This window comes from Homo sapiens, chromosome 9 (assembly GCF_000001405.40).
Source record: "Homo sapiens chromosome 9, GRCh38.p14 Primary Assembly".
NCBI classification, from domain to species: domain Eukaryota; kingdom Metazoa; phylum Chordata; class Mammalia; order Primates; family Hominidae; genus Homo; species Homo sapiens.
The window spans coordinates 61062513-61086359 of NC_000009.12; the positions used below are offsets into that span (position 1 = coordinate 61062513).

The 23847-nt window shown below is 38.6% G+C and overlaps 1 pseudogene; it reads right to left on the reverse strand.

Annotated features, from left to right (window-relative positions):
• The window catches only part of LOC101930090 (contactin associated protein family member 3B pseudogene), a 50205-nt pseudogene continuing 27597 nt past the window's right edge, over nucleotides 1240-23847 (reverse strand).

The following is a 23847-nucleotide window of genomic DNA, read 5'->3' on the forward strand; positions in this document are numbered from 1 at the left end:
TATGAGATTTGTGAGCACAGAGATCTTCAGGACTAATAAAAGACATATGCAAGACCTTCTGAAAATTTAAATGACTTCTAGATAATGAATCCTCAAAATTCTTTTGAAAGTCACACAATTTATAGTGATTAAAGCCTGTTTTGCTGCTAAAAATAGTAAGTGTAACAGCCCAGAGACACTTAAACACACAATTACATTTTAGCTCTGATGAATCAATATTGTAAGAGGTTTCATAAAAGTATTACAAATATATTAAATAAGTCAGTACAGAGTACTTAATACTAAAATCAGTCCCTTTTTCCTTTTCTTTTTTTTTTCCCCCAAGACGGAGTCTCACTCTGTCGCCCAGGAGTGAGTGCAGTGGTGCGATCTCGACTCACTGCAACCTCTGCCTCCCGGGTTCAAGCAATTCTCCTGCCTCAGCCTCCCGAGTAGCTGGGATGCCCTGCTAATTTTTGTATTTTTAGTAAAGATGAGGTTTCACCATGTTGGCCAGGCTGGTCTTGAATTCCTGACCTCGTGATCCGCCTGCCTTGGCCTCCCAAAGTGCTGGGATTACAGGCATGAGCCACCACGCCCAGCCCTTTTCTTTTGAAAACATGATTGTACCTGAGCAGAAGCTGTGTGATACCCCACTGCACTCCTCTAAGAAGAGTCAAACATCATAGAGCAAAGTGTTTGAGTGATCCTGTTAATGACTGTCAATATTTAAGTATTCTTTTCCCCTTCTAGTTAGTATGTTTGTTTTATAAGAAAAGACATTTCTATAAAGGCCTTTTGAATCACTTAAAGTCACTGTCACAAGGGACAATGGGTAAGACGATTGCTCAAGCCTAGGAGTTCAAGTCCGGCCTGGGCAACAGAGAGGCTTGAATAGCAATACGTTGTCTCTAAAAATTAAAAACAAAAATAAGAATGATGCTTTACTGATGTTAAAATTAGAACAGTACAAGGACAGAGTTTTGAAAACCAAATTATTTCAAGAGGATTAGCATTGAACAGATGCTGGGGTAACCCAGAGATCTTCTAAATAAGAAACCCAGAGAGGACTGATAGCCTTAAGTTTTCAAAAACAGTCATATCCCTTCTAAATTCAATAGAGGAATTTGGTACAGAAATTATTCCATTTCAAATAATTCAATCTTATCCTCTCTTTATAATATCAAATGCCAGAAGCATTCTTCATACTATTTAAGTTTCATGTACTTTCCCTATAACCTGCTCCTTGGTCACACTTACCATTGGAGCAGAACGGTCCATCATAGGCTGAGAAGGCACAGTCACAGGTGACCCCCCTGCGTTTCTCTCTGCATCTCCCTCCATTGCGACACAAGTGTCCATAGGTGCTGCAGTGTCCTGCACACCCTGGCTCCACTCCTGGCATCACTGTGGCTCTTTCTTCAAGATCCAGGGCCACCCCGTTCAACTGCAGAGACCGAATGCATCCTAGAAAGCCTCTCTGTCTGGTGGCCGTTCCACCTACAACGGAAACACTGCAAATAGAAATGTGTTCCTTGGTATTTTATTCAGGATTTTATGTCCATGTCAAACTCAGGCCTTATGGAGAGTGGCAATAATCACAATGTGTCAAAAAATTTTGTGAACATATACAATTTTGAAAATATAACTGTTATGAGATATGCAGCTTTAAATGACATTGAATAAAACATTTATTTACATAACTTTCAAACATGGTGAGTCTGGCAAATAGTCCTTCTAAAAACATTTCCTTAACTTCAGGTAAGAAAGAATTTCACTTTAGTTCCTTTACAAAGAACAAAATACATAATATAAATCACATCAAACACTATTTTACTTTGTTTAGGAATAAGAATGTGCATTCATCAAACATTATTTTAATTTCTTTATGAATAAGAATGTGCATTATAATGGTTAGGTATGAACTTCCAAATTTTTCACAATAATAAAAATATATATGGATAAATTTGTTACTTGGATGGACTCTAAAAATAAAGTGTGAAAGGAAATGGATAAGCAAAGGAGGGGAAGTTGGAAGGGGTGACACCATACCCCAGGATCTCCTCCTCTCAGAGGGTACAGTGCTAAACAGTAATTGAATACTGCATGCATGCACATTTTGTCATGTCAAACTTGAATGCTGAAGAAACCATTTAGAGAGGTTTACAACACCTGTGTAGTGACAAACACCATTACGAAGGCGACAATTCTCAATGTTAGGAGCATGGAAATTACCTAGAGTTTCTGGAAAAATGCAGTTTTTAGCCTCCTCCCAGAGATTCCAATTCGGTGGCCTAAGGTGGGGGCCCCAAATCTGAACTATCAATCAGCTTTGTGGGTGATTCTGAAGCCAGTGCTTCATCCACCGCAATGAATGCTGATTCTAGGTGAATTTTATGCTAATTGTGTTTCTAGGCATTCCCTTAAATAATCTCCAAGATTACAAGTGAGAAAATCAAGTTCTTGGTTTGACCCCTCCGTGTAGTCCTCCTTTCCAGTAGTTTGATGGTTTCATGTCCTTTGAAAAAGCCTCACTGCAACTTAATAGAAGAGCTAACCACGCCTGAAGCTAGGTTTTAGGAAGTCATGGTATAACACCCCATCCACATCCACATACATACATGGGTTCATGTGTAACATTTAGTACCTGGAAGTTGTATCTACCCTCCCCTGTAAATTAGGTTGGATGATAATTTGTGATTTAGTCCAGTTTTAATTAGATTGCATCCTTATTCGCTTTAAAACACTTAAGAATGAACAAGTGAGAGCTTTAATCTGTGTAGCTCCTACGTTAGAATAGTTTCAAAAGCAATATGGAAAAATAAACAACAGTGATAAAACAGTAAGTAAGCAAACTAAAGGAAAGACTTCCAGAGCTATCACCTTTAAATAAATGGAGTGCAAGAACAGATGAGCCAGACCGGGTTATAAACAAGGAGCCTGTGATGAGAGAGCCCCAGAAGTGAGAACAGCAGCGAGGAAAACCGGGAGTGGGCTCCTGGAAGCCTGGCCGCGGGGGAGGTGCGCAGTGCTGCTTCCAATCAGCGGGTATCCTGCGATCTGGTTTTGAGTGGACCCTGGAGGACTTCTGTCCCAATTACAAGCTCTCTAACTCCACCGAGAAGTGAAACTGAAGGAATGGATAAAAATGTCTAATGATCTCACTAATAGTGTTGATAAAATATAGCTGTCACATATGCCAATCCTCTGCATTGTGAATGGTTCAAGTTTGGGGGTTGGCTATCCTGGGATCCCTCTCATTAGCTGGTTACTCCACTTCTCTGAGGCTTGGCTATCTCATCTGTAAACAGATGACAATACCTAAACATTGATACCTAAACACTGAGATACTGCAGGGCCCGGTGGCTCGCGCCTGTAATCCCAGCACTTTGAGAGGCTGAGGTGGGTGGATCATCAGGTCAAGAGATCACGACCATCCTGGCCAACATGGTAAAACCGTGTCTCTATTAAAAATACAAAAATTAGCCAGGCGTGGTGGCACCTGCGCCTGTAATCCCAGCTACTCAGGAGGCTGAGGCAGGAGAATCGCTTGAACCCGGCAGGTGGAGGTTTCAGTGGGCTGAGATTGCACCACTGCACTCCAGCCTGGGCGACACAGTGAGACTCTGTCTGAAAACAAAAACAAAAACAAACAAACAAACAAAAGAAATGTCAAATAAGAAGCACACAGCAAGCTCCTGGAACCTACCAGGTTATCAGCAAATAGTACCAATAAGCAGTAGTTGTTGGCAACTGTTGCTCTCAGTACATCACAGTTCTTAATTTCTTTTGGTCCCTCTCTGGACTCACACTAAATTCAGTTATAAACCACCAGCACTCACCAATGAAGAGCTGGCTGTTGAGCTGTAAACGAACGTGCCCATCAGCAGGGGCAGGCTGCATCTTCTGAGGAAGCTGATCAACTTGAAGAGACGCTCCTTTAACATTTCTCTCTGCCCTCACGTGGTGCCACTGATTGTCATTAAAGGGAGTGGGTGACTGCACCGTGACCTCACAAGGTCCATTCCCCACATCGAAGGAAAAGGTCACTTCTGTGGGAGCTAGAAATATTAGATATGAATATTGCTCAAGCAAATTCACAGAAAATTGAGTCTTGTGCAGACACAGGAAAACATGAAGGCACGCTCAGGATGGAAGGAGATAATGACGGCGATGCAGAAAAACAAGACTGTGAGTTGGGGTGGGGGCAGAATAAATCTGTATCCTGGAGGAAAACAGAACGGATTTTAACATATTTATCCTCAGAGTTCACAATTCAACCTTGTTAAGTCCTAAATAGTAGAGATATGTACCCATAGCTGGACTACCCATAGCTATGTACCCATAGCTAGAATACCAAATAGTATTTGTTTTTGAGGTTTCAGTAATTTTATTTACAAACGGCTCAAAGTCTCATCTAATTCTATAAACACTGAATGTAAATTTTGACAGTCATAAATTAAGCTTTGGGTACATAAAAAACAATATGTCTGGTCAAATATTTTTGGAATTCAGTAAACAATGTGATGAGTTTGGTTTAAAGCTCTGGCTCTGCTGTTCAGTACTCTAGGAAAGGCATGACATTTTAATGGATTATTACGTGCTTCATTGTTTTATTTTCTCTTAAAAATGATTACTGGCTGGGTGTGGCAGTTCACACCTGTAATCCCAGCACTTTGGGAACCCGAGGCAGGCGGATCACTTGAGGCCAGGAGTTGAAGACCAGCCTGGTCAACATGGCAAAACCCCACCTCTACTAAAAATACAAAAATTAGCTGGGCATGGTGGTGCGTGCCTATAGTCCCAGCTACTCAGGAGACTGAGGCAGGAGAATTGCTTGAACCCAGGAGGCTGAGGTTGCAGTGAGCCGAGATAATGCCACTGCACTCCAGCATGAGTGACACAGCAAAATGCTCTCTCCCTCTCTCAAAAACAAAAAATTACCTAAAATCATAGAAGTTTAGTGTTTTATAATGAAATAGAATCACAAAGTAAGAATGAAATACTACCATTTTGTTGAGTTAAAGCTTTTATTGCTAAATAATGGGTATCCTGTGACTTGTCCAGAGTGGCCAGCTTACCCCGCAGCTCAATCCTGATGAAGTCTGTGATCCCCAGGTTCTCCATAAACACCCCGGAGGAAACTGTGGTCTTAAAAAAGAAGCACACGTCAGCAGTGAGTTCTCCGTGGAAAGCAGGGAAATGAAGGTATGAAGTCTCAGTGTTGAAGGAAGCTGAATTCCAGAATGACTCTGTTTACAATAGAGAAAACGACAAAAGGAAAAAAAGTCATGAAACAAAAATAACAGCTACATTTGATACTTACAGGATTATGACTGCTAAATACATTAATAGAATGTATATGAGCTTTCACTGGGGGTTCTGAGCATCCATGTCATATACTGATGACATCAAGAGCTAAATAGTGATTACGCTGAGGATTGGAATTCTGTGTTCAGAGAAGGCCAAACAAAAGCGAAGCAAAAGCAATGAGACCAGTCAGGGGATCGCGCAGCAACACAGTAGGGACAGGGTCAAGTTCAGAATCACCTCAAAGATACGACCAACAGAACTTACTGAAGAACTCGGTAAGATGTGAGAAGAAGGGTGGAGTCTGAGGTGACTTTGGGGTTTTTGGTCTAACTAGGAAGGGAAATAATTCTAAAGAAGCAGGTTCGAGCAGCAGCTCAGTTTGGGACATGCTTCATTTGAGATATCTATTAGGCATCCAAGTGGAGATTTGAAGGAGGTAGTTGGATAAATGACTCCAGAAGCCAGAACACAGACTCTTGCTTTCCTTCCTGCACACACACACACACACACACACACACACACACACACACACACACACACACTGTCTTAATTCCTTTCATGGCAAGAACAATCAAGAACAAGAAGAAGCTTATTTGTTCCCTTCTGTCCAAAACCCATCACAGGACTGCACATCACATGTATTACTCAGGCCTCTTTAGTGTCCTTTATTCTGGTACAGTGTGTGAGTCTTTTCTTATCTTCTGTGTACTTTTGACTTTTTGGTATTTTTCAGTTGACTTGCAGAATGTTCCTCAACTTGGATTTGTCTGACATACTCATGATTGGATTCATGTTGTGCATTTTTGTCAAAAATACCACAGAAGGGCTGCTGTGTTCTCCTCAGTGTGTCGCAGCAGCAGGCAGCAATGCTGATCAGCCCATCACTGGTCCTGTTAGTTTCAAGTGCCTTGTAAAGTGGCATTTGTCCAGTTTCTCCAACATGAAGTTATTATTTTTCTCTTTTTTCATGTATTTTTGACACTTTAAGGTTACAGAAACACAACTTTACCCAGTTTAAAATTTTTTCATCCAATGGTTTTACAATATATTGATGGCTCCTGATTGAATTTTTATTCTGATGGCTGCCAATGGTGATTTTCTAAGCTCTGTCATTCCTTCCACATTAATTGGTTGACATGCCTCCGTCAGAAATAGCTTTTCTCGGCTAGGTGCAGTGGCTCACGCCTGTAATCCCAGCAGTTTGGGAGGCCAAGGCGGACGGATCATGAGGTCAGGAGATCCAGACCATCCTGGCTAACACGGTGAAACCCCGTCTCTACTAAAAATACAAAAAATTAGCCAGGCATGGTGGTGGGTGCCTGTAGTCCCAGCTAGTCGGGAGGCTGAGGCAGGAGAATGACGTGAACCCGGGAGGCGGAGCTTGCAGTGAGCCGAGATCGTGCCACTGCACTCCAGCCTGCGCAACAGAGCGAGACTCCATCTCAAAAACAAACAAATAAACAAACCAAGAAATAGCTTTTCTCTTGATCTTTTACTAATTTATTTGTGTATTTATGCATTTGTTTATTCACGTCACTCTTGAATTTGTATTCTATTCAATGGTTTATACTCTATAACTTATTTTGATGCTTAAGTTGTCTCAAATGTGGCAGCTCCTTTAAGCTGACACCCATGCCTTTTTCAGCTTTTTTTTTCCCCTTTGTCATGACAAAATGATCCAGGCTCATCTTAAATTTTCTCTGCCACATTTCTGGAATCAGCCATTTCTTCAAGGAGTCGTGGTTTCTTTTTTAGCAGAGAATGACAGAAAATGGTGTTTAGAAGCCCAGATCTGCAGGCTATTTACTAGGGTGTCATTGCTTCTAGCCCTCTCAGTAGTCAGCTAGGAAATATGTGTATTTGTATCTCTCTCTCTCTCTCACACACACACATACACACACGCAGTCTCTCTCTTCTATGTGTATTCTACAGTTATCTATTATGTATATTAAAATCCATGAGTTCATGTGGATACCTCCGTTTTTAACCCAGCACCACAGGGTTCATTACAGTCTTCCTCCTTCCCACATGTATAACTCTTTCCTCAGTGAGGTCACTCCTACTCTCCTTACTGTATTTACAGATTTGCTCATTCCCCAGTGTGGAACCAAGCTTCTAACCCAGTGGTCATTCCTTGACCCTATCCCTGCAGATCCCCTAGTCCCAGCTGCCCCAAAAGAAGGGAAAAGAATCAATAAGTGTTATGTTAAAGAAAACAGAGATGAAGGAAAGGAAAAGAGAAACGAAGAGGAAGCTACAAGTTTTACAGAAGATAATATTTTATTTTTCTTTCTTTCTTCATTAATCAATTTATTTATTTATTTTAGAGATGAGGTCTCACTTTGTCACCCAGGCTGGAGTGCAGTGGCATGATCATAGTTCACTGCCACCTCACATTCCTGGGCTCAAGAGATCATCTCACCTAAGCCTTCCTAGTTGCTGGGACTACAGGCCACCATGCCCAGCTAATTTTTAGTTTTTTTGTAAGAGACAAGGTCTTACCATCTTGTCCGGGCTTGTGTTGAACTCCTAGGCTCAAGCCATCCTCCCATCTCAGTCTCCCAAAAAGAGAAGGGAATATTTCAAATATCACACTTTCTCTTCTCCATACTTTCAGAAGTCTTGCTGAAAGTAAGATATAAACTGAAGGTGAATGACATATCCTGAAGAGTCTCACAAATACAGCCACATTTGGAGAGAAATGAAGGGCTGAGGTAAATTTCCAGAGAGAAAATAATCTAGAAAATGTTTCTGAGAAGTACAGAGTACCTAGAAACCAGTGTTTGATGTCAGAGTATCAATAGGCAGGGGAAAAGGCTACAAATTTCCAGGGGTTATTACTGAACTGTGGGAGGCATCTGAAGCCTGCAGATATACCCTCCATGCTTCAGTGTGATGCCTGGCACAGGACATTTAATAATTCTTGAAGATAAAACAGCACAGAGAATGGCCAGTAAATCAGATACAATTCAACAGATCCCTCCCTTGAGCTCTTAGATTATGGGAAAAAATATTGATAGGATGACCAACTCTAGTCCTGCTATTGCAGTTCAGAAGGGACAAGAAGTATGTGTCTGATTGTGAAGAGATGAATGTCGAGAAGAATTCAACTCCATTCCATATAAATGAATTAAATGTCTGGACAGACCTGCCAGACAGACCTGTAGTGTAGACTTACACTACAAGTATAAACAATGTTTCAAAAAGCACAGAAACAGTGCAAACATACTGAGAAAGAAAAAAAGAAGACAGGAAAGAAAGAAAGAAAAAGAAAGAAAAGAAAGAGAGAGAAAGAAAGAAGAGAGGGAGGGAGGGAGTGGGGAAGGAAGGAAGGAAGGAAGGAAGGAAGGAAGGAAGGAGTATAAAAGCCAGACTGAATGGGAGGGAGGAAGGGAGGGAGAGAAAGAGGGAGGGAGGGAGGGAGGAAGGAAGGAAGGAGCCATCTGAATGGGATGGAGGAAGGAAATTAAGAGAGAACACAAGGAAAGAAAAATTTCATAAGAGTTTCACACTATGGGAATAATATAAAAACCAATTCAGTAAAATAAGAGCTAAAATATGAGATAAACAGAAAAGATGATTTTTAAGGAAAAAAAAATCAAAGACCCAAACAAAATCACAGAGGTAACAGAGAAATCGGAAATATCTGGAAATGGAGAACACAGCTGATAACAAATTACTGACATTGGGAAAAGCTTAGAATAATCATATTGAATGCATAGGAGAAGGACAAAGAGATTAAAGCCATTGGAAGAAACAGAAAAAATGTATGGGGGGCAAAGGAAACAAGTCAACAGTCCTAGATGCAGAGAATCCAACAAATGAAACAAAGTATTCAAAGCATAATAAAAACCATTTTTTCTTAAAAGAGAACAGAATATTTCGGTCAAAATAAGCATATTTCATTTTAGAAAAAATTAACAGAATAATTAACGCTAAGGCATATTCTGGATAAGTTTTTGAAATTGAAGGATAACATATCTGTCAAGAGCTGTGAAGAGTCTGAGATTTCACCCTACTTGCAAGCTAACAATTTAGCTTGCCACAGATTAATGGATGCTGATAGAAAACACAAAATTTCCGGGTCAGAGTTAAAGAACTTTATTGCTCACAGCACAGCATGCAGCATGAGTGTCAGAATATTTGCATTGGTTCCCCTTATCTCCAAATTTCACAGGGCAACACAATCCATTGGCCCAGGTGGATGCTACACACACAGTGGGTAGGTTTGCATCTCAGATGAGGAGCCCCCAGACAAGGGTCCGGGACTCCTTCATCAAGCAGGAGACAAGCCGGTCCCCGCCCTCTCTGGGGAGTGAGTACGCGTCGATAGTGATGTTGTGTTCTCTTTGAACTACTTAGCTGCCTACACGATTGGCTACAGAAACTGCTTGGTATTAGGGGATGGAGACACCACACCATCTGGCACACTCGGCAAGAATGTACAGAGAGGCTCAGGCTCCTTGTTGAACCATCCCTCTCAGAAGTAGCCTCCACACATTGAGGTAGAACAGGAAATAAAAATACATTTAGTCTCAGACTTCTCCACGGCAATGTATGATGCTAGTGGGTAAGAAACACTATTACAATTTTTCTCAGGGAAAGAAGATTTTTACTAGCTTAGTTGTGGTTCCCGTGCTACCCAGTAGGTAGATCCTCTAAGAACCCTGGGCTTATAGTGCCACTGAGGTGGGGGAGCGAGGACTTGACCATGAAAGCCACCCATGAACGAAAATGCTGCAGGAAAGAGATTAATACACATTCGGTGCCATGTAATGTAAAACAGTATGTACAGAGGTCAGAAAATAGAGAGTGTCCAATAATTTCCTACCACTATAGTTGTCTGAAGAGTATAAGGGCAATGAATAAATATCCCTTAGCATTCAGAAAATAGTTCATCTCATGATTGTTCTGGAAAAAATACAATCAATTGATAATAAATCCAGCCAAGCAAGTAATAAGTTAAAACAAAGATGATTCATTTTCTATAAACTAATGCTTCAGTAAGGAAACACAGATCTTCAGTACTGACTGTGCCTTTATGGTATGTGTGTTTTCCTGATATTCACCCCAGTCCTAGTACTGCCACTATTCTCTTTCTGGCAAGAACAAGGGCATTTGTCTACCCCTTTATAACCAAAAAAAGTTATTATGAAAATAAAGCTTTTTCTTGACACTACTTACTATCTCCGCGGCAGAGCAGTGGCCCCAGTGTATAATCTGCTTCGGAATGTGGTTGGCCTGCGTCTGTCATCACAATCTGAGTGACTGGGAGGTGCTCCTTTTGGGAAAGGACTATTGTGTCACTAGTCCTAAAGAACAACAACCGAAACCATTAAAATTATTCTGATTAACATACGGGCAAAATTAACTCTGATCTCTTATCTCAATTTGAAACCAACATCATAGAGCTTAACAGAATACTTAACATTTTCAATATTTTGAGAGCACAGAGACTACCATGAATCTAAATCAGGGATGGGCAAACATTTTGTGTAAAGGACCATACAGTAAGCTATGCAGGCCATGCAGCTTCTCACAGCAACTACTTAACTCTGCCACCAAGTGTGAAAGCAGCCACAGACACAGGCATGGCTGGGTTGCAATAAAAATTTATGGATATGAAATCTGAATTTCATACAAGTTTTATATGACATGAAATATTCTTTTTATTTTTCAACCTTTTAAAAATGTAAAGAAAACATTCTTAGCTCACTGCCATGCAAAAATAGACTAGTGGTCTGGATTTCACCCAAAGCAAGAGGTTATCAATTCCTGACCCGTTTGCCAATTCCTGATCTAAATGATTACAGAGAAGGGGAAAAATCAAGAAGGTAACTTCCCTTCTAAAATTGTCTTAGAATAATATCTAAGTGATTATTCATTACAAATAAAAATAGTAACACTGGATTTAGATATTCATTTTGCAGAATATTAATTTATCATTATTTTTTAAAGTCGTTTTATGATTACTGGGTATTTCTTTCCTTGTTAACTTTGTAAATGCAAAATGAGTCCCACAGATTCAAAACCAAATACATACTACACCCTTATAAGTAATACATAGACTAATGAGTGTGAAAGTGGTCTGTGAAACACTGCTCCCAGTAGTTCAGGCAACAAACACAGGCCGGGCACAGTGGCTCATGCCTGTAATCCCAACACTTTAGAAGACTGGGGTGGGCAGATTGCTTGAGCTCTGGAGTTCGAAACCAGCCTGGGCAACATAGTGAGGCCCCGTCTCTACAAAAAATACAAAAATTAGCTGGGTGTGATGGTGCACACCTGTAGCAGCTACATGGGAGGCTGAGGTGGGAGGATACCTTGAGCCTGGGAGGTAGAGGCTGTAGTGAGCCATGTGTGCACCACTGCACTCCAGCCTGGGTGGCAAAGTGAGACCCTGTCTCAAAAAATACAAAAAACAAACAAAAAACCCCAAACACTCAGCGCTCACCTTTTGTCGAACAGACATTGTCCTGGGAATTGAGGACACAGAGTAAAAAATATATTTTAGTCTCTGCCTTCTGAAAGCACACAGCCTGTTGAATACCATGAGTATTAATTATGTGACTGGGAAAATAAATGCACACGTCTGGGTCCAATACAAAGAGACCTGGAGGATCCCCTAGGGGAACCTGGGGTCCTGGTCTTAGCTATGCCACTAATTTTGTCTCTGGCCAAAATAAAGGCATTTGTCTACTCTGCTGCAAAAGTATTTTATTATATATGTGTATGTAACTGTATATGTAATAAATATTTGGCCAATAATATTGCATATATGCATATATAATAAAATGCTTATATTTATATACTTTTGGTTATATTTTATTACATATATGTCTCAACTGCATGTATATTCTGATTTACAGACAAAACACTCTTAGTCCAGTTACGGTTAGAAACTCCACAGTATCTAGTAAATACTGTATGTTTTAAATTGCCCAGTTCTCAAACCTTCTTTTGTATGCATTTGTGGCAAAAGATCACAATAATTGATATTTCATCATTGCAACACTTATGTATTTTCAGAATAAGGCTTTCTGAATTAAAAAAAATTAAACTGGCATGTCAGAGTTGTACATATACTGGGGGCACATGTGCTATTTTGATACTAGAATACAATGCATAATGATCAAATCAGGGTAATTGGGATATCCATCACTTTGAGCAGTTATCCTCTGTGGTGGGAACATTACAATTCTCTTCTGGCTATTTTGAAATATCCAATAAATTACTGTTAACTATAATTTCTCTAGTTCTATCAAATACTAGAATTTCTTTTACTTAACTCGACTTTTGTACCCATTAATCAACTTCTTTTATAAAAGACTTTAGGTATCAAACTTTCAAACTGGAAAATATAAAACTAAAATAAAATGGCTATATTATTTAAGATTATTCCCTGAAAAAATACACTTAATGGTAAAGAAAGCTTATTTCTAAAATTCAGACTAAAACCCTGTTGCTTTACCTAGTTAAGATTCTGTTATTCATTTTAATGCAAAGAACAGAATATGGATTATCTAAAGGCATCACCATTCAGCTTTAGAGTGGATTGATGGTAGACAAGCTAGAAATATGTCTCCTGCTGAATGAGGTAGGTCTAGGAAATTTTTTATTAATGTGGTAGCCATTAAAAATTACCATTTCCACTTCTGTGATCATCATTTTAGCAAGATAGTCTAGTAGAGAAAATGCAATTTAATTATTTATGGAGGATGCTTGTATTTTAAAAGATCTATTTCACGGGAGCTCCAAGTTTCATTCCATTTTCAATACTGACTGTGCAAAATATTGAGAATGTGTAAATGAAATCCACATTTCAGTTTAATTAGGGCAGATACTATAGTAAAGTCTTGTTTTTTCATTGTTTTGGAAAGTCTGGTGTTTTCATTCTGAGCATAAAGATAGCCAGTGTTTTTCACCAGTTTCTTATTGTTACAGGCAGATTCCCAACCTTTGGAAATCAAAATAGAATACTCAGGATTTGTAATAGTTATCAGACTTCCTCAAAACTTCCTAATTAATAGGGACATCTCATTTTTCTTTTCTCCCTATTATTTTCTAAAGCTTATACTATAGTCTACACTTGGAAATAGTGCTTTCATAGGTACCATAATCTCTTGGAGCAGTATTAAAAATTCAGTAAGAGAACTTTCAAAGACTTTTTGCTTTTATTTTATATTTTACTAAAATTTTTATTTATTAGAAATTCCTACGGTTCTGGAAATTGTACTTTCCTAGGAAGTGTGAAAACTTCTAAAAGCTACTACTTATTATTTGCCAGGGAACTTTATTTAAGGCAAAGTAGAGCCATAAGTTTGGGAGGTTGCAAAGAAAGCTAAAAGGGAGAAATGTTGAGTCAACTTTTTAACTTTTTTTTTTTTTTTTTTCGAGACAGAGTCTCACTCTTGTCGCCCAGGCTGGAGTGCAATGGTGTGATCTCTGCTCACCGCAACCTCCACCCTCAGGATTCAAGCGATTCTCCTGCCTCAGCCTCCAGAGTAGCTGGGATTACATGCGTGCGCCACTACGCTCAGCTAATTTTTGTATTTTTAGTATAGACGGGGTTTCACCATGTTGGTCAGGCTGGTCTCGAACTTCTGACTTCATGATCCGCCCGCCTTGGCCTCGCAAAGTGCTGGGATAACAAGTGTGAGCCACCGCGCCCAGCCCAACTGTTAATGATTATTTTGGGGGAGTAGGTCAGCAATAATAAAATCATTATGATCCACATCTAACCCACTTAAAAAATTTCTAGATTCTCAGTTTCTGTTTAATTGCCTATCTTCTGGCCAGTTCAACCTGCATTAATTACTACAGCAATACAGTATGTTTTGACAGCTAACAGAACTAGTTTCTTCACTTTATTTTTCATCTTAAAAATTATCTTGCTTATCCTTTCATCCTTAATTTCCATATGAATTTTAAAACCAGGTTGCTGCAATCCACACAAGTAAAAACACTTGGCATTTTTTGGAATTTTGTTAAAATTACAGACTAATTTGAGGAGAATGTCAACTTTAAAAGAGGGTATCTCAACAGCAGCGTTACTGATATTTTGGGCTAATTTTTTTTTGTCATGGGGGGGGCTGTCCTGTGCACTGTAGGATGCTCAGCAGCACCCTGATTTCTAATTAATAGACACTAATATAAACAACCTTCCTCTCTCTGTGATGATAAAAATGTCTTCAGACAATGCCAAATGTCCCAAGAGTCGAAATCACCCCCGATTGAGAACTACTGCTTTAAGATACTGAGTCATACTATCCACGACAGTAGTGAGTCAATCCATTTATTTGGCTGTCCTTAATTCTCTTGAATAAGTTTTGTAATTTTTTCCATAAAAGTACTGCAGTTATTCCACAGAACTTTACATTTTTGTTAATATTGCAAATAAAATTTTTCTAGGTGTGTAATGGTATTTTATGATTTTATAGAAATTCAAGTAATTCCTCAATACTGACTGACCATAAATTCAGCAAACTTACTGAACTCTCATTTTTCCTGATATTTCTTTATATTATTTTGGATTTTCTATGTAGGCAATCATATTATCTACAATATCTGCCAGGTTTGTTTCTTTTCCAAACTTTTTATCACTTACATCTATTTTATTTCCTCTTGTGTCTTTAACTGACACATGCATGAGCTTTTAAAAATTATATATTCATTATTGATTACAGTTAAGAATATAGTTTCCATCATGACAATTCCGTAAAATTTGTTAAGATTCCATCCATTTACAAAATTTTTTATACTTATTCAACAATAATGTATAATACATTCTATAAAGAAATAATTTTTCCTTACTAAACGATATATGGCTGCTATATCAAGTTTGTTAATTATAATATTAAAATATTCTTACCTGCTTCACTTACTCATTCCCAAAAATGTTATGTTAATTATTCCACTGTTTTGGGTGTCAATTTGCCTTTGCATATTTGTTACATATATATATATACACACACATATATATATACACACACACACATATATATACACACACATATATATACACACACACATATATATATATACACACACACACATACTTTTTTTTTTTTTTTTTTTTTTGAGACAGAGTCTTGGTCTGTCGCCCAGGCTGGAGTGCAGTGGTGTGATCTTGGCTCACTGTAAGCTCTGCCTTCCAGGTTCATGCCATTCTCCTGCCTCAGCCTCCCGAGTAGCTGGGACTACAGGCGCCCACCACCAGGCCTGGCTAATATTTTTTGTATTTTTAGTAGAGACGGGGTTGCACCTGTGTTAGCCAGGATGGTCTCGATCTTCTGACCTTGTGATCTGCCCGCCTCGGCCTCCCAAAGTGCTGGGATTACAGGCGTGAGCCACGGCGCCCTGCCACTTCTTTATATATTTTAAACAATCTGATGATACACACAAGTGTAGTGAGATCTTTCTAGTGAGTTTATCTCAGCATTAGATAGAGTTCAAGTTTATCCCTAACAATGCTTTTCATCTTTGTCTGACATAATACAGCTATATCTGCTTTCTTTTGATTTGTATTTACGTGGTAAATATTTTCTATTCTTTTAGTTTCAACTTCACCGAGTGCTTATATTTTATCTTTTGTAAACAAGCTATAGCTTCTTTAAAAATCCAATATGATAAAATCTAATATCTGGTTTTTAAATGAACAGAGTTTACTCGTATTTATTATGATTATTTGTACACTTGTATGCATTTAAACCATCTTATTTTATGCTTTTTATTTGTGGTTACTTTTAAAGACTCTAAGGTAATCACACAAAAGTCCTATTTAAATTCTTAAGTAAAATAATATTACAGTTACATGTGTCATCATTATATTAGCAAAACAACTTGTGGATTTTTGCAGACAGCTGAATTATATGTTATATGTATATTTTAGAGAATATATTGGTCTATTTGAACATAGTCCACTATACATTTATACACATATATTGACTTGCAGCATAGTTCAATATTTTAAATCATTATAGTGCCTTTTAAATATATTTGTTTTTATAATAAATCTTTGGCATGTTATAGTTATTTGATAGAATATTCTTACTGTGCCTGAGGAACTGTCTGATCATAAACTTTTTTTTAAGTAATATGCTTAGACGAGTTGCTGATTACAGGGACAACTTATGGAAAAATGGCGATGGTTTATATTAACAATACTGCCTGCCCCATTAACGGACATATGCCTGAAGAGACTTAAAATAGCTTTCACTTTACTTTCATTCCCAAATACTATTTTTATTATAAACTTTCCACCAGGAAAACCTTACTAGGCACACCTCAGTAATAGAAAATAAGTAATAAAGACTAAGATTTATGTTCTTATGTCTATACCTTAATCTAAATTATTACAATTATAAATCTTTTCATTTCATGAGACTGGTAAATTCCATTTTTATAAACTGAAAAATCAATTTTATTTGAAAAATTAAAATAGAAATTGTAATTTCCCACCCCCCCACCCCCATACACACCCCCACATTTACAAAACAATCTACAAGAGTTGGGATAGGATTTCAGAATGCTTGTGGTCTTACTGTTGGATAGACCTATCTACTGGAAGCTGCAAAGTAAATAAAATAAGGTTAAAAAGCAAATGACTCCACAATGCTCCCTTCTGAATGTAGGAGGGGAGTTAATTTTTAAAACCTGCTTCTCTCCTAAATTTTTTTCCAAATGAAAGCCCATGGCTTCTGTCACACCAGTGCAGTCCTTGACGGTGCTGAAGTGACATGGCTAAGGGTATCAGAGGACCTGCACCCACCTCAGTTCCTTCCATTCCCCTCCTCAAACTCAGTTCATGGGAGGGTCACTCAATACAGGTGGCTCCAAGTGATACGTTCCTCTGGTTACTGCCCTAAGCATACGTGAAGTCTACAATAAAGTATGCACTTAATACTAACAGAAGGTTCTGTAACAAAAAAACAGTTGACCAGCCTGGCCAATAGTGAAACCCAGTCTCTACTAAAAATACAAAAATTAGCCAGGTGTGGCACTCGGCTGTAATCTCAGTTACTCGGGAGGCTGAGGCAGGAGAATCACTTGAATCCGGGAGGCGCAGGTTGCAGTGAGCTGAGATCGCACCACTGCATTCCAGCCTGGGCGACAGAGAGAGACTCTGTCTCAAAACAAAAACAAAACAAAACGGTTAACATTCTTCGAACTAAGTTATAAAGCCACTAGCATATATGCCATTCTGGCTTTCTTGTAATAACCTGCCAATGCTCTCCTTTCTGACCTGTAGAGAATGGGGGTGGGGACAGACCAATGAGCTGGAGGTCTTCTGAACAGCCAGGAGCTGGAGGGCTGGAGCCCTCACAGGCAGGAGCCCCTTGTGGAATGGAGGAAATGAAAACCTCCAGGATTGTTAAAGATGTCCGTCAAAAGATTTGAAGGTCGCTGTTTGTCTCATTAGAGCCCAAAGCTAACACACATCATCACATTATCATACCAGACACTTTAAAATGTACATCATACAAAATATGGTACAAAACCATTTTAACTGACGGCAAATTACTTCAGACCTGAAACTTACTGGTGGCCAGATTTGAAACTATGGATCAGATCTGTTCCTGTTACTCACTGCACTAAAACTGCATTCATTTTTAAGTAAGAGAAAGTTGTATTAAGATTGCATATCAAAATATTCAAAAAGAGTGTCTCATAAATCTGTATGATCATTTTGTAATTTTGAACTTGAGGAAGATTAAAAATAATATCCATGTAAATGTATAGTATGTATTCTATAGAAACCTCCAGTAGATTCAAGTGAGTTTTCCCAACTTCACAATATTTTTTAAAGTGATGCAAAGTAGACTTTTTATGCCAAATAAATAAGTGGACTACCATGCAGGCCAAACAACTCAATTTTTAGGAATCAAATTACTGCTTAGGTTAGCTATTTTATGTCCAAATCAATTATACTGACACCTGGATTGACCATTACGTTTTTTATTTATTAATTATTATTATTATTATTTTGAGGTGGAGTCTTGCTCTGTCGCCCAGGCTGGAGTGCAGTGGCGCGATCTCGGCTCACTGCAACCTCTACCTCCTGGGTTAAGCAATTCTACTGTCTCACCCTCCTGAGCAGCTGGGACTACAGGCACACACAGCCACACCCGGCTAATTTTTGTATTTTCAGTGGAGACGGGGTTTCGCCACATTGGCCAGGCTGGTCTCAACCTTCTGACCTCAGGTGATCCACCTGCCTTGGCCTCCCAAAGTGCTGTGATTACAGGCATGAGCCACAGTGCCTGGCCTAAGTTTTTTTTTAAAGCACGTACTCTACACGATCTAGTTGTTTTATGACAATGCTTTTTAAGTTGCTGACATGAACCCAAAGGTTGAAAACATTTACATATTACAAATAAAAAAAAAGAAAACCAATATGCATTTCAAGAATAACCTCAAAAAGAACTTCTGAAAAAGAGGCATTGCAATCTACATGAGAAAATTGTTTCTGCTCAAAAGAAAGCTTACAAAATAATTTTCAAATTCTGGAAATTCTATGTTAGTTGTTTCAAAGTATGGTCTACAGAACAGTTGGTGCTTGAAGCTTTGCTATTGCACTGAAGATTTCAATGAGTGTGGGAAATTGTTGCTTCTACAAAATAAACACAGTCCTTTTATGCAGGACCTCTCAGAGTTTCTTGTGTTAATGTTAATTTCTAAAAGAAAGACAGAATATGCAGCATTATATCCCAAATCAATTTAAGACAAAGATTTGGAGGAATTTGCTTTTTGAATTGCCACATGAATACTACGTTAATTAATTAACTAAACTTCGCAGAGAATGATATTTGATTTCCAGTGAGTGGAAAACTTAACAGCTGCTTCTCTTTTATGAAAAATAAAAAACACATTATATAGTATTCACAATGAATTAGTAAATCTTTGGTCATAAAATTTAATCCTTAGATTAACTGATCATATTTCATCAAAACTTGTATTTCAGCTTGCTTGAACATACTTTAATCTAGTTACCTTATTGTACCAGCTTGTCTGACATTTAATTAACTATGCATAATTAAAGAATAAAAACCACATTTTTGTGCAGGGAAATCATGTGGAAATCACCATTCATTCCGGCCAGCATCACAGTTGCAGTAATACTGAGAATCAATGCAGTTCCCCTCTAATCCACAAGTACACTTTTGAGCATCAGGCAGAGAACCTCCCCAGGAAGTGTGTGTTTCATTGGTTCTTCCAACCCACCAGCTCAGTGGGGTTCCATCTGAAAGACAAGTATAAGAAAGATGACATCTACTTTGTCCCTCACTATCACCCTCCCCATATAGCTCCCTTTACTCCCAGGTGTAAAGTGTATGTGTGAGAGGCAGAGAGAGAGAAAATGAAACTATACTTAAACACTTGTATTTTACCTCTGAAATGTTTCTTTAAGCCTAACCAATGTTTTTCCCCCAATATTTCAATATCTAGGCTTAAATGATTCCATCTATTTTTCTTCTATTAGAAATCAGTCAGTTGCATGTGATACATACTTTCTATAGAAATAACATTCAAAAAAATTCACCATTAAAATAAATACCAGAGTAATTTGCACACTAAAGATAAAATCTATTTGAAATTATGAAATGTTCATTGAGAAAGTTTAATATTATACAAAGACATTGATTTATCTCATCCCATCTTTTTGCTAACTACCTGTATATTACACATTTGGAAAGATACACGTACTCTCTGTCAGTACTTACTAATTTTTGGAGGTATTTGTTTTTATTGCATTGGATGTCCTGACTCTTTATTTGGAGGTTAAGGAATGACATTGATAGGCTTTTCTCATCTCTGAGGTTAGAGATTTCTCATGCAAAGAAACAAAGTGCCCTGGGTCAACTACAGCTCTGAGGAGTGCGCCTCCTTCTCAGCACTGACAATGATTAAATGATAGAGTCAGACACTAACTCAGATCTATAGAACTGCATATTAGGACAAGGGATGCTGCCAGGGGTTGGGAGTGAAGATTGGGGTGATGGACTGACAGCACATCACAGTAAAGTTAGGATAATTTAAAAAGCAGGTGTCAGGCCACCTATCTTAAAAAAGGAAAGGGGTCAGAGGCCACAAGTTGCAGTCATCACAGATTAGGCCATGAGGAAAATGAAATTGGATTAACTCAACCAGTTTTTTAAACATGCTTGATCATGTGGTGCTGTTTTTCAAATTTCAATAGCTTGTTACCATTGGAATATGAATCGAGATCTGGAACTTAGCTTCTACCTTACTGCTTATTACAACTCAATTATAACTCATTCATAGATAAGATCTCTGCATTCATTACCACCACCACTATCCATCACCTGCCCCTCTGCCAAAAAACAAAAAAAACAACAACAAAAAAGGCAATCTGGGAAAATTTAAAGAGGGATTAGTACCAGGAATCTTTTAAAAATGTGCTAAAAGCTTGTTACTACAACGTAAAAGATATTTTTAAAAATTAATACACTCTTCTCGGAATGCCACTTTAAAAGTTACCGACTTCACCATTAAACTGTCGCAGATTAAAGAGCAAAACACTCATTATATCCTAATGTACAAGTATAAATTTACATCTAAATCTCCCATATTCCCCATAAAGTAGTAAAAATGTATTTTTTTAGAAACAGTAACAAAAAGATGTAAGTGGGTGAACTTCTAGACTGATAAAAGATCTTGTAGACTTGTCTATCCCTGCTATTTCCACCAAGTATAATGATAGATTCTGGAAATAATACAGAAGACAACCGAAGAGAATTCTGAAAGGTAGAAAGAGGAAGCTTAGGACCCCAGGACTGGAAGATACAATAACATAACGTTTTAAAAAACTCTGAATGGGCTCAAGAATAGAGTGAAAAAACACAGGACAGAATCACTGAACTTGAGGGCCCATCAATAGGCTTTATCTAACCTGACCAAAAAAGAGAGAACAGACTGAATATAAAAAGAACTGAGCCATAGGGTCCTATCAGACAATATCATCCGAATCTCAAAAAGAGAGAACAAAGTGTGCTGAAAGAGTACTGAAAAAATACTGGCTGTAAACTTCCCACATGTGGTGAAAGATACAAACCCACAGATTTAGGAAGTTAAGTTTAAGTCCAAAAAAGGATAAACCCAAAAATATCGACACCAAGATCCATCATAATTGAACTTTTTGGAAACAAAACAAAACAAATCTTGAAAGCAGCCTGAGAGAATAACACATTACCTGCCTGTAAAAGAACCCTAATTTGAATGATAGTAGATTACTCATCTGAAATTACAGAACCAGAAGGAATGGCATATTTTTTTTCAGGGCTGATAGAAAAAAAATTGTCAACTATAAATTATATACCCAGAGAAACTATCCTTCAAGAATAAAATGGAAATAAAATCTTTTTAGGCCGGGTGCGGTGGCTCACGCCTGTAATCCCAGGACTTTCGGAGGCCGAGGTGGGCGGATCACGAGGTCAGATCGAGACCATCCTGGCTAACACGGTGAAACCCCGTCTCTACTAAAAATACAAAAAATAGACGAGCGTAGCGGCGGGAGCCTGTAGTCCCAGCTACTCAGGAGGCTGAGGCAGGAGAATGGCGTGAACCCGGGAGGCGGAGCCTGCAGTGAGCCGAGATTGTGCCACTGCACTCCAACCTGGGCGACAGAGTGAGACTCCATCTCCAAAACAATAACAACAACAAAAAACCTTTTTAACACAAAAGAAAACTAAAATAATTTGTCGCTAGCAGACATTCCCTAAAGAATGGCTAAAGGAGGTTTTTCAAAAAGAAAGGAAATTATAACAAAGGATTCTTGGAACATCAGGAAAAAAATGAAAAGAGAAGAAATATGGATAAATATAATAGACTATCCTTATCAATTTTTGAAATGACATATGATAATTGACACAAAAACTGTAATACCATATGATACTCAAGACAATGATATTTAGAAGTGGGGAAGATAAAGGACCCAAATAGACATAAGGATTCCATATTTCATTATGAGAGTGAAGATATTTAAGTTGACTGTGGTAAGTCACATATGTACACTATAATACCAAGCAACGAGTAAGAAAATTATAAAAATTACCTTAAATGTAAATGGTTAAAATATAACAAAAGTTAGATGTTGGCAGAATCAACTGAAAAAAAAATAACACAACGAGAAATTTATAAGAAACTCACTTCAAAATAAACATAGGCAGGTTAAAAGTAAAAGGATGGAAAAAATACACTCTGCAAAAATTAAATTTGAAAGAAAGCAGAATGGCTATCTCATAAAATAGACTTCAGAACAAAAATACTAGAACAGGGACATTACATAATGATTTTTAAAAAAATCACCAGGAAGACATAAATGCATATGCAAGAAACAATACACCCTTAAAAAAATGAGGCAAAAATTGAGACTTCTGGTTTCCAATCTGATATGACGTTAAGAGTCTGGAAGTCATCGCTCCCATTCTCACAACAAGAAAAAAGCTGCACTAACTAAAAATAAACAGTTCTTCTTACACAGTTAAAGTCATAGGGCAAACATTACTCCTAAAGCTGCAGAGACAACTGAAAACAGCATCACGGCTAATGGAGCCAAAGCAGATGGTGGAGTCTGGTAAAAGCACTTAAAATGTAACTGACTAATTGATGGATACTGAGCAAGGACAAGCTACAGAGATTGAAAACTCCTAGAGTGGGGGATACGCCTTAGAGGGTCAACACACCTTCAAGAGTTTTATCTCCAGGAAGAGCCCCATCAAGTTCTCAGAATAAAGATAGGAAAAAAATGCTCTTATGTCTCCAGCAGGGGGAGGGAAGGAGTAAACATTTTTGAAATAAGCGCAGAACATTATGTTCTCCTTAACAACATTCTAATCCCCCGAAAAGCTAGTTTACTAGAGCCTAAACCACCTAGGGGAATGGAAATATCCAGAACCAGCCCCCTCTACCCTTCTTTTCTTACCCAAGGGAAGGGGAAGGAAGCTGAGAAGCACTCTGAAGGTCACAGTCCAGGAAGACAGGTTCTCTAAAAGACTGACCTAATCCTAAGAGTACAGGATGCTTCTGGCCGGGCGCGGTGGCTCACGCCTGTAATCTCAGCACTTTGGGAGGCCGAGGCGGGCAGATCATGAGGTCAGGAGATCAAGACCATCCTGGCTAACATGGTGAAACCCCATCTCTACTAAAAATACAAAAAATTGGGCCGGGTGAGGTGGCTCAAGCCTGTAATCCCAGCATTTTGGGAGGCTGAGGCGGGCGGATCACGAGGTCAGGAGATCCAGACCATCCTGGCTAACATGGTGAAACCCCGTATCTACTAAAAATAGAAAAAAATTAGCCGGGCGTGGTGGCGGGCGCCTGTAGTCCCAGCTACTCAGGAGGCTGAGGCGGGAGGATGGCGTGAACCCGGGAGACGGAGCTTGCAGTGAGCTGAGATGGCGCCACTGCACTCCAGCCTGGGCTACAGAGCGAGACTCTCTCAAAAAAATTAAAATAAAATAAAAACATTAAAAAAAAAAGAGTATAGGATGCTTCTCCTCTCCCCGCACCTTATCATCAATCAGATCAGTACAT